The sequence below is a fragment of the Homo sapiens genome, chromosome 6 (genome assembly GCF_000001405.40).
Source record: "Homo sapiens chromosome 6, GRCh38.p14 Primary Assembly".
In the NCBI taxonomy this organism is placed as follows: Eukaryota; Metazoa; Chordata; class Mammalia; order Primates; family Hominidae; genus Homo; species Homo sapiens.
Genome location: NC_000006.12, coordinates 125,153,087 through 125,165,377, shown reverse-complemented (window position 1 = coordinate 125,165,377; position 12,291 = coordinate 125,153,087). Strand labels below are relative to the sequence as shown.

General features: G+C 41.1%; 1 protein-coding gene across 10 annotated transcripts in view, besides 1 other annotated feature; it reads right to left on the bottom strand.

Annotated features, from left to right (window-relative positions):
• The window catches only part of TPD52L1 (TPD52 like 1), a 110,635-nt gene extending 99,030 nt beyond the window's left edge, over positions 1 to 11,605 (bottom strand). For 6 of the 10 annotated variants that reach the window (NM_001318903.2, NM_003287.4, NM_001003396.3 and 3 more), the window contains exon 1: positions 11,408 to 11,605. In NM_001318903.2, the coding sequence (NP_001305832.1) occupies positions 11,408 to 11,426 (19 nt within the window). In that variant the 5' untranslated portion in view covers positions 11,427 to 11,605. Of the gene's footprint in view, positions 1 to 10,845; positions 11,133 to 11,407 lie in introns of those variants that run through there. The other 4 variants (NM_001003395.3, XM_017011239.2, XM_047419287.1 and 1 more) reach the window with 1 other exon arrangement.
• Positions 10,222 to 10,809: an enhancer, noted in NCBI's record as "NANOG-H3K27ac-H3K4me1 hESC enhancer chr6:125475715-125476302 (GRCh37/hg19 assembly coordinates)". NCBI's record gives its function as "activates a minimal SCP1, AML or CMV promoter by ChIP-STARR-seq in primed H9 embryonic stem cells {active_cell/tissue: H9 hESC(primed)}" and the evidence as "EXISTENCE:reporter gene assay evidence [ECO:0000049][PMID:30033119]".

Here is a 12,291-nt window from a genome sequence, read left to right as displayed (position 1 = left end):
CCCAAAGCTTCCTTTTAGCCATTTCAAATTCATTAAAATATTCTCCTGCCTTCCCTGGTACATTAACAATGCTTCTCAATTTAATGCATATATTTCAAATCATTACACTTTATTGCTTAAATATTCAATGAAAAGTAGGATGACAGATGTGAATATCCACATTTTGAGGTCACCTTTTATGTGTTCTTAACTGTGTAGTAACTCAGTAAATTTTTTCTTGTTTTACTTTTTTCTTTTAGTTTTATATATGTATACAAAACTATATATATACAGTTAAAATATATATATATATCTTTTTTTTAAGAGACAGGGGTTTTGCTTAGCCTGGGTTTGAACTCTGGAGCTCAAGTGGTCCCACTGCCTCAGCACCTTGATTAGCTGGGACTATAAGCACTCACCACCATGATCAGCTTAACTCAGTAAATTGAAGAAGTGACTGGCTTTACGGTGTTGTTGGGGACATTTCGCAACAGAAGTAATGGTGAACCTCTGCCTGCATGGAGAGCATGCCAGCTGATCAATGACTGAGGCAGATGCCCTCTTTTCTGCAGTTGCTGCTTCAAACCGTGAAAATTCAACACAGAGATGGCTAGAGTCGCTTAAGGACAAATCCATTGATGGCTCATTTTTTTCAACAGTTTTACTAGGTATTTTCTTAAAGTAGTTATTCTGCTAGTATGGTTGGGAGATGGTTAAATGAATAAAACATATTCGTGTAAACAAGTAATTATAATGTTCATGAGGCAATAAAATGCTTTCTTTTTTGGGGTACTCATTGAAATTAGCCCTTTCAGCCAGCATCTAAAGAATACAGATTCTACTTTCTGGAAAGAAGCATGCAGAGCCTGTGACTTTTATTTATTTTAAAGTCCTGAGATGACTGAATATGGATGAACACCAAGTGGAATAACATATCTGAACAGACTTTTGTTTGAGCTGGTGATAAAATTCTGTATTGGTTTAAGAATCACATGTCATGTGATTTTTATAGAATTCTTCATCTTGAAAACAGAACAAAAATAGCAAGCTGTTGATAAATGAGCATCCTCCACCCGCAACTTGACATGTCGCAAGGCTTACTCTTAAAGATCTCCAGTCCCATTCATATTCCCAGACTTAGACCCTGCCCACATATGAAATGAACTGTACAATTAAATTCTGCCCGTTTAAAGCCTCTTTGATCATATAGAAAATAAAGCAAAACCATTATTTAAAACTTTGCACACTGACTGCTTGTGCATACAAAGTACCTATAGAATGGTAATTGAAATCTCAAGATATGAAGTCAAACTTTCTGATTTCAAATCCCAACTCCAACACTTCCAAGTTGTATGAGTTGGAGAATGTTGTGTAACTAGTCTGTCATTCAGTTTCATCATCTGTAAAACCAAAATGTTACCTTCCTTGTGAGTTTGTTATTATTATTGGTTTTTTTCTTTTGTTTTCTTTTTTTTTTTTTTTGAGACAGAGTGTCACTCTGTCACCCAGGCTGGAGTGTAATGACATGATCTCGGCTCACTGCAACTTCTGCCTCCCAAGTTCAAGTGATTCTCCTGCTTCAGCCTCCCAAGTAGCTGGGATTACAGGTGCCCGCCAGCTAATTTTTGTATTTTTAGTAGAGAGGGGGTTTCACGATGTTGATCAGGCTGGTCTTGAGCTCCTGACCTCAGGTGATCCGCCCACCTCAGGCTCCCAAAATGCTGAGATTACAGGTATAAGCCACCACGCCCGGCCTGTTGTACTTATTAAATAACATGTTTGGAGTTTTTTGTTTTTGTTCTTTTTTTTTTTTTTTAGACAGGGTGTCACTTTGTCCAGCCCAGGCTAGAGTGCAATGATGCAATCATAGCTCACTGCAACCTCAAACTCCTGGGCTCAAGCAATCCTCCCACCTCAGCCTCCCAAGTAGCTGGGAATACATGCATGCATCACCATGCCCAATTTACTTCTTTATTTTTTGTAGAAGCAGGGTTTTGCTATGTTGTCTGGGCTGGTCTTGAACTCCTGGGCTCAAGTGATCCTCCCGTCTTGGCCTCCCAAAGTACCAGGAGCCACTGCACCTGACTAAATAACATGCTTTTTAAAAAAGTGCATGCCATGGTATTTGACATTTGTAAAAACACTAAAATGTTATTGCTATTATCACCCTCAATGTGAATTAGCTCTAATTAGCACATTAGCACTCAAAAAATCCCATTGGGATGGAAATATGTCCTCTCATTAGTTCTAGGTGTTAACCCACAGGAACGACTCTCAACTCTTTTTTGCCTATCCTCCTGAAAAGATGACACCATGTCAAGTTCATCTTAGCTTCCCCTTTGCACGTGTGGCACAGCACACATTAAGGCACAGTGCAGTATAGTAGTTAAGCTCATTCTCTGGACTCAATTAAACTTGGAGTTGAATCCTGTCTTCTTCATTTAATTTTTCTGACTCGTAGTTCCCTGTTTATAAAATGAGTTAAAAGTAAAGGTATCTACCTCATGATGTTATTATAAGGTTTTGATAAAATAATGGATGCAAAGTTTTCAGCATATGCTAATAAAAGCAACAGCAAACATTTATATACTACTTACCATGTGCTAGGCCCTGCTTTAAGCACTTTGCTTGTATTAACATGTTAAATCCCCATAACAATCCTATGATATTGGAGCTATTACTATCTTCACTTTGCATATGTAGAAACCAAGATTGAGTGAAATGAATAACTTGTTCATGGTCATATTAATGGTAAGTAACATGTCAGAATTAAAATCCAGGCAGTTTACCTTCATCCTGGGATCTTAATCACTATGCCCTTTTCCCTCCCAATAGTATGTGCTTGTCAAATATTTGCTATTACTGCAGTAATCAATAAGTATTTATTAAAATATTTAATGAATCAATATCTGCTGAAGTATTTGTTTATTATTTACTATAAATTACTAAGTAGCACATCTTCTTATAGGCCACAAAAATGGACTCCTTTGCTTATAAGTTTTTGAAGAAATTCTCAGATTCTGCCTACCCAGATAATTAATAAGGTGTATAACAGGGAAGGCAATTCAAAATATGTTCCCATCTACTACAACAGCTGCCATTTGTATAATTAGATTTTAAAATAATTTAAAATAAAACAGTGGTATATGATTTGTTGCAAATGACTGACTTCACCTAAAATATGCATCATCACCTATTTCAAAACCTTTACTTAAACAGGAAACAAAACTACAGGAGGTAACTTTGAAAATTGTATGAATAGTCTTAATAATACTCTTAAAAATCATAAATCAAAATATATAACAGCTTGCTTCCATAGTTTGAGGTTTATTATTATATTGCCTAAACTTCAATACAAAATTTTAAATATGAAACATAAAATGCAAAATAATTTTTTCCTTGGATAATTTAATAGTTAGAGACATACCTCACTGCACTTCACTTTATTGTACCTCACAGATATTATTTTTACAAATTGAAGGTTTGTGGCAACCCCAGGTTGTGCAAGTCTATTGGTGCCATTTTTCCAACATGGGCTCATGTCATGTCTCTGTGTCACATTTTAGTAACTCTCACAATATTTCAAACTTTTCCATTATTATTAAATCGGTTATGGTGATCTGTGATTGGTGATCTTTGATGTTACCATCAGAATTGTTTTGGAGAACCATGAACTATGCCCATATAAGATGGTGACCTTAACCAGTAAATCCTGTGTGTGTTCTGACTGCTCCACCAGCCACCCATTTCCCTATCTCTCTCCCTGTCCCTGGCCCTCTCCACTCTCTGAGACACAACAATATTGATAGTATGCCAATTAACCCTATAATAGTCTCTAAGTATTCAAGTGAAACATAGAGACACAAATCTCTCACCTTAAGTCAAAAGCTAGAAATGATTAAACTTAGCAAGGAAGGCACAGTGAAAGCCAAGATAGATCAAAAGCAGGCCTCTTGATTCAAGTTGTGAATGTGAAGGAAAAGTTCTTGAAAGAAACGTAGCATGCTATTCCACTGAACACACAAATGATAAGAAAGTGAAATAGACTAATTGCTGATAGGGAGAAAGTTTGAGTGGTCTGGATAGATCAAACCAGCCACAACATTTCTTTAAGTGAAAATCTAATCCAGAGAAGGTCCTAAGTCTCTTCAATTTATGAAGGCTGAGAGAAATGAGAAAGCTGTGCAACAAAAGTTGGAAGCTAGCAGAGATTTGTTCATGAGGTTTAAGGAAAGAAGTCATCTCAGGCCTGGCATGGTGGCTCATGCCTGTAATCCCAGCACTTTGGGAGGCTGAGGCAGGTGGATCACCTTAGGTCAGGAGTTCCAGACCAGCCTGGACAACATGGTGAAACCCCATCTCTACTAAAAACACAAAAATTAGCAGGGCGTGGTGGCACGCACCTGTAATCCCTGCTATTCAGGAAGCGGAGGCAGGAGAATTTGCTTGAACCCAGGAGGTGAAGGTTGCAGTGAGCCAAGATCGTGCCACTGCACTCCAGCCTGGGTGACAGAGCAAGACTCCATCTCAAAAAAAAAAAAAAAAAAAGTCATCTCTGTAACATAAAAGTGCAAGGTGAAGCAGCAAGGGCTGTTGCCAAAGCTGCAGCAAGCTCTCCAGAAGATCTGGCTAAGATAGTTGATGAAAGTGGCTAAACTAAACAACACATTTTCATATAGATGAAACAGCCTTACACTGGAAGAAGATGTCAGCTAGGACTTTTATAGCTAGAGAGGAGGAGTCGATGCTTGGCTTCAAAACTTCAAAGTACAGGCTGACTCTCTTGTTAGGGGCTAATGTAGCTGGTGACTTTAAGTTACATGCTCACTTACTATTCAAAAAGTTCTAAGGCCCTTATGAATTATTCTAACTGTAACCAGATGCAGTGGCTCATGACTGTAATCCCAACACTTTGTGAGGCCAAGGCAGGAGGATTGCTTGAGCCCAGGAGTTCAAGGTGTCAGTGAGCTATGATGATCCCACTGTACTTCAGCCTAGGCAACCGAGCAAGACCTTTCATCTATGAAAATGCAAATACAAATAAATAAATAATTATTCTAAATCTATAGATTTAGAAAATGTGCTCTATAAATAGAATAACAAAGCCTGGGTAACTGTTTACAATATGGTTTCTTGAATATTTTAAGTCCACTATTAAGAACTACTGCTCAGAAAAAAAATATTTCTTTCTGAATATTACTTCTGGTTGATAACACACCTGTATTAGTCCATTCTTATGCTGCTAATAAAGACATACCCGAGACTAGGAAATTTGTAAAGAAAAAGAGGTTTAATGGACTCACAGTTCCGCATGGCTGGGGAGGCCTCACAATCATGATGGAAGGCACATCTCACATGGTGGCAGGCAAGAGGACATACTCAGGGGAACTCCCCTTTATAAAACCATCATGTCTCGTGAGACTTGCTATCATGAGAACAGCATGGGAAAGACCGGCACCTATGATTCAATTACCTCCCAATGGCTCCCTCCCATGACATGTGGGAATTATGGGAGCTACAATTCAAGATGAGATTTGGGTGGGGACACAGCCAAACAATATCATACGTGGTCACCCAAGAGTTCTGATGGAGATGTACAAAGAGATTAACATTGCTCACACGTCTACTAACACAACATCCACTCTTCAGCTTGTGGATCAGGGAGTAATTTTGACTTTCAAGTCGTATTATTTAAGAAATACATCTCATAAGAAAACAGCTGCCATAGATAGTGATTTTTTTGTTGGAACTAGGCAAAATAAATTGAAAACATTCTGGAAAGGATTCACCATTCTAGATGTCATTAAGAACATTCGTAATTCATGGGAGGTGGTCAAAATATCAACATTAACAGGAGTTTGGAAGATGTGGACTCCAACCCTCCTGAATGAGTTTGAGGTGTCCAAGATGTCAGTGGAGGAAATGAAGTGCAGATGTGGTAGAAACAGCAAAAGAAGCAGAAGTGGAGCCTGAAGATGTAACTAAATTTATGACATTTTAATCTCATGCTAAAACTTGAATGAATGAGGTGTTGCTTCTTATGGATGAGCAAAGAGTGGTTTCTTGAGATGGAATCTACTCCCAGTGAAGATGTTCACAGCACTGTGTAAATGACAACAAAGGATTTAGAATTATATAAATTTAGTCGATAAAGCAGTGGCAGGGCTTGAGAGGATTGATTCCAATATTGAAAGAAGTTCTATCGCAGACAAAATGCTACCAAACAGCATTACAGGCTATATATAAATCTTCTTGAAAGGAATAGTCAATCTATGTGACAAACTTCCTCGTTGTCTTACTTTAATAAATTGCCACAGCCACCTCAGCCTTCGGCAACCACCATTCGGATCAGTCAGCAGCCATCGACATCCAGGCAAGACCCTCCACCAGTAAAACACTTACCACTCAGTGAAGGCACAAATGATCGTTAGCAATTTTTAGCAAAAAGTATCTTTTACATAAAGGTATGTACCTTTTCTTAGATAGCATGCTATTGCACATTTAACAAACTACAGTATAGTATAAACATAACTTTTATATGCACTAGAAAACCAAAAAACGTGTGTGACTCGCTGTATTCCAATATTCACTTCTTTGGGGTGATCTGGAACTGAACCCACACTATCTCCAAGGTATGCCTGTATAAGAGACTGGACCTGCTGCTGTTTGACAGAAGGAAGAATGGTTCTTTTATCATTTTATAACAAAATGCCATACTTCCTTTATAAAGTAAGAATTTATCTTCCATGCAATATCAATAAAAGTAATGTGATTATATTCATTTTTCTAGAGCTTCATCCCTTGCTTCCTTTTCTCTTCTTATCCTCATTTATTTTCTTTCATCTATTTTTAATTTACATTATCTTGTTGCATTTCAAGTATCCATATAAACTGCCTTATGTACTTCCTGAAACAAGATAAAATTATATAAATGTTCTGTGAGCAAAGTATAATGTAAGGTATAAAGTATAATGTAAAGTATAATGTATAATGTAGAATGTATACTTATAATGTAAGTATAAAGTATAATGTAAAGTATAATGACATTTTCATTTAAAGGACTTTGCAAACAGTAGGGTTAATCTGATATTTATTGCTTTATTTCATTCATGGACATCTGAGACTCTTCTTGAGTGGATATAAAAAATAGTTATTATAGTAAACTGAATGATGGCCCCTAAATATATCCTAATTCCTGGAACCTGGAAATGTTACCTTTTGCAGGTGTGATTAAGTTAAAGGTCTTGAGAGAGAGAGAGATTATCCTGGATTATCTAGGTAGGTGCTAAATGAAATCACAAGTGTCCTTATAAGAGAGAGGCAGAGGGAGGTTTGATGCGAACAGAACAGAAAGCAGCATAACCACGGAGACAGAGAGATTGGAGTGATGCAGCCCAAGAATGTCGGCAGCCACCAGGAACTGAAAGAGGGAAAGACGATTTCTTTCTTAGAGCCTCCAGAGGAAGGACAGCGCTGCCGACACCTTGATTTCAGCCTAGTGATAGTGCCTTTGGAATTCTAACCGCCAAACAATGAGACAGCACATGTTAATTGTTTTAGGCCACGAAGTTTGTGGTAATTTTTACAGTGGCCTTGAGAAACTAACATAGTTATTAATTTGAATATATGCAAATGTTAAAAGGAGACAGTTTTCCTTGTAACATTAAAGACGTTGGGAAAGGTGAAAACAACAAAGTTATTTCCATTTAGAATAATAAAATATTGAAGGGTAGTTTAAAAGGATCAGGAAGTTTTTATTTTAAAGGACTACTGTATGTTTCGGGAAAATGCTACATTTCCAACCCAATTCCCTCTCTAACATATCAGTTGTCTTAAAGCAAAATTATCTGGTACCAGAGGAAAGCAAATAGGAATGCCATTCTCCTGTGGACATCTCTCTCCACGTTGTTCTCCAGCCCTCCTCAGTGAACAGCTCCACCCATAATCCCACTTCCTGTTTAGTGTCCTACCACCTCCCCTGAGAGTCCTCTTGTTTTGCTGGAAGTAATCTATTATTTTACAAAGTCAAAGAACATATTTGCATAATTTCACTTATGGGAAAGTTTCTAGTGCAGTAAGTTGCTGCACTTACTGAGCTATATGGGCGAATCATGTCCATAACACCTTGGTGTCTTCCTGGACAATATGAGGTACAACTCATCAGCAACTGCCTGCTTAATCTCACTTATCTTTACCTGTCTCTAGATTAGCAGGCAGAAAGACAAGCCATCTCCACTCTAGGTAATTCTAAAATAAACTGTGCTGAAGGTGGAAACTTACACTTTAAAAATCACAGAACTGTCTTATCTAGAATCTAAGAGGCAAATCATTCATTTAGCCAGAAAAAATGTGCAAGTGGAAAAAAGATTTCCCTTTAATATATGCTATAAACAGTTTGTGAGAAGTTTTTTCTTAAATAACTCAATATCTCTGCTTTATAAATAACAAAAAGTCTGAAAATGAAAATCTTAAAATGCTAGGCAAATAAAGATTTAAGAGGTAATTATCCTCCATTTGATTGTACAAGTAGGAAGCTGGTCATCCTTGACACTGCCCTCCTTCACATTCAATCCAATTTTGACTTTTCTTAAGTTTTTTTGTTGTTATTCTCTTTTTGTTTATCTGTTTTTGAGACAGAGTCTTGCCCTCTCGCCCAAGCTGGGGTGCAGTGATGTAATCACAGCTCACGGCTGCCTCCACCTGCTGGGCTCAGGTGATCCTCCCACCTCAACCTCCCAAATAGCTGGGATACAGGCACGCACCACCACACCCAGCTAATTTTTGTATTTTTTGTGGAGACAGCGTTTCACCATGTTGCCCAGGCTGATCTCAAACTCCTGGGCTCAAAAAATCTGTCTCCTCCAGCCTCCCAAAGTGCTGGAATTACAGGTGTGGCTGGCCTTTTTTGTATCTCTCTCTTTTTTTTTTTTTTTTTGAGACAAGGTCTCACTCTTGTCCAGACTAGAGTGCAATGCTGGGATTTTGGCTCACTGTAGCCACAAACTTCTGACCTCAAGCAATCCTCCCACTCCAGCCTTCCAAGTAGCTAGGCCTACAGGCACATGCCACCACACTCAGCTAATTCTGTTTATTTTTTGTAGAGATGAGGTCTCTCTATGTTGTCCAGGCTGGTCTCGAACTCCTGGGCTCTAAGTGATCCTCCTACCTTGGCCTCCCGAAGTGCTGGGATTACAAGTGTAAGCCACTGCACCTGGCCTCTTAAGTATTTATTAAATCTGTTCACTTTTCTCATATCCATTTGCCTTTTTACTAGTCCTCTTTACACCTAAAGTTTCCATCCAGTCATGAGGGGAAAGGAAGAGCACCACAGGACAGCTGGAGATTCAGGTGGGGACTGAAGTTTTACCTTTCCTCCAAAAGTCATAGGCTTTGAGTGAGAATGGGTCCCTCACAGCATCCACTTTGCTACTTTTTACCTATCTGGCTGTAAACAAGGAACTTATTAAAAAGTCATGGCAAAAATTGCAATTACTTTTGCACCAACCTAATACCTTCCATGCTTGTTTCCTCTCTGTAGAATGGGAATGAGAATATGAACTACCTCATGGGACTGCTGCGCACAGGAAATGAGTCCATCAATACATGCAAAGCACGAAGAACAGAGACAGGGACACAATAAACAATCTGCTCTTCTGATTATTGCATACTAGGGTTATAGTTTTTCAGGCTCTCGCTGCACTATGAGGCCCTTTCTTAGCATCAGCATGGCAGTGATTTTACATGTTATTTTTCAAATAGCTATCAAATTAATATTTGTCTCTTCCTCTACTGTAAATTTTATGAAGCAGATACCAAGTCTGTCTTTGCTCTTCTTAGCACAGTGCTTGGCAAAGGAAAGCACTGAAATATTTGTTAAGTAAATCTTGGAAGTAAAGCAAAGCAATAAAGCAAACCAGTGACACCAGTGGTTACCAGTCTGTAGTTTCGGATGTCTTCAGAAGTTGTATGAATGTTTCCTATCTGCTATAGTTCTTCTCCATCCTCACTAATATAAGCTTTCAAATATACCCATGTTCAGGTTCCAAAGATTCCAGTTTGACTGGGATGGGGTTGGCCAAGGCCAGTAATGAAGACTCTCTAAATAATTCTAATATGCAAGTCAGGTTGGAAAGCTCCGGTGCTGCTCCCACCAGCTTCAGTTCTGGCGTGAAGGCCTCCAACCTGACCTCTGCTTTTGAATTTGACCAACTGCCCTCACCCTTGGTTGAATTATCATTTCCTATCTACATAATAGAGGAAAAAATATGGGAAGCGGCAGCTTTACGGGCAGGACTTAGGAGGATGGAACAAACGAGTAAGGTTCGTGCTGTTCAGACAATTGTAATCCTGGCAGCAAACCTGTTGGGCGACTCCAGGCCCACGCAATCGCCAACCCACTCTCATTCAGGGCGTTCTGCCCCTAGAGGGCGAGCGCATCAGGTCATGAACCTTTTTTTTTTTCTTTTTAATGAGATTTTATCTATACTAAGAGCCAACACAGAGTTTCCTACTGTGTAAAAGAATGGTGGCTTTGATTGCCTTAAAGGCTGAACTCCGCAAGCCATCCCTTCTGGGCGTTGCTCCCCAAGGTAGATCACTGAGTCCGTTTCCTTCCCACTTGTCTCTCGCTCCACATCCGCCCACCTCTGCCCCTTTCCACGGTCCGTTTACCCCCATTCTTGAACGATTCCATCGGAATTCCCCAACCCTGTTCCAAGTGTGACCCCAAGATATGAGGCCGCCCTTCCTGAAGCCACCGCAGGCTCCTCCAGCAGGCAGCCCCGGGAGCAGGGAGCTGGGCGGCCGGGGGCCCCGCGCGCCACGGGAGGCAGAGGTCGCTCCCCGATCGCGGAAACCGGGACTCACGTGTGGATCTGCTGGAGGTCAGGGGGCCGGTAACGTTCACCTGGCCTCGGAAGGCGGGTCCCCGAGCGGGAAGCGTCTCGCGCAGCCGGGCTGCGGAGCCACCCCCTCGGCGGGCGATCCTCTCACTCCCTAACTTGGGAGCCACAAGCCGCGAGTCCACGGCGCTGGGCGAAAAGAGTCACATTCCCTCCCCACTCCCTCAAGGGAAAGGGAGCGAAACACGCTTTCCGGACCCGGCACAACAGGTCCTTCGGGCAGCCGCGAGGTTGGGAAGGCCAGGGGCGACTGGCTGCGGAAGAGGGTAGAGCATTCCACGGGCGCATTTCCTGAGGAGGGGCCTCTCCACTTACGGATCCCCTGTCACTTTATTGATCCCCAGACCCACAGCAAATCCTGAGTTTGGGCAGCAGGCATTATACCAAAGGCGCGGGTGGGAGTGGAGTTCTGGATGTGCAACACGGCACCAATCTGTTCTGTCCGAGAGCGAAGTTAGGTGGTGCAGGAAAAGAGCCTTTATGCGCGCCCCAGGACCTGACTCTCGGGGCGATCGGCGACCACTCACCTTGTGCCTGCGCCTCCATGGTGGCTGACTTCGAGCTGAGGGCGGCGGGGACACCCTGGTGCTTCCCAGAGCAGATGGCAGCTGCGCCCAGGCTCAGAACGCAGCTGGCCCCGCCGCTCGCTCCCACTCCTGGCACGCGTGTCGCGAGCGCTGCGCGGAGGGGGTTGGGGACGCAGGCAGCCGCCACTAGCCGCTTCTGGTTACCTCCGCCCCTTCCAGTCCACCTGGCCCAAACCAAGCTGGAACAAGCTCGCCGCTGGGCGCCACCTGCCGGCGCTCTGTACAGCCGGCGGAAGGCACCCACTCCCGGCGCTATAAGGGCATAACGCAGAGATATTGCAGGTTAGGTTCCAGACCCCCGCAATAAAGCGAGTATTGCAACAAAACGAGTCACACGAATTTTTCAGTTTCCTAATGCATATAAAAGTTACGTTTGCACTATGCTGTAGTCTGTTAAGTATGCAATAGCACGATGTCTAGAAAGAGCAATGTACCTACCTTAACTTAAAAAGATATTTTATTTCTAAAAAATGCTAAAGATCATCTTCACCTAATGGGAATCTTTTTGGTGGTGGAAGGCATTGCTTGGATGTTGATGGCTGCTGATTGATCCTGGTAGTGATTGCTGAAGGCTGCAATAGCTGTGTCAATTTCTTAAAATGGGACAACAATGAAGTTTGCTGCATCAATTGACTCTTCCTTTTATGAAAGATTTTTCTGTAGCATGCAATGCTGGTTGATAGCATTTTATCTACATTATAACTTTTTTCAAAATTGGAGTCAATCATCTCAAACCCTGCCATTGCTTTATCAACTAAGTTTATATAATTATAAATCTTTTGCTGTCATTTCAACAATGCTGTGAACAACTTCACCAGGAGTAG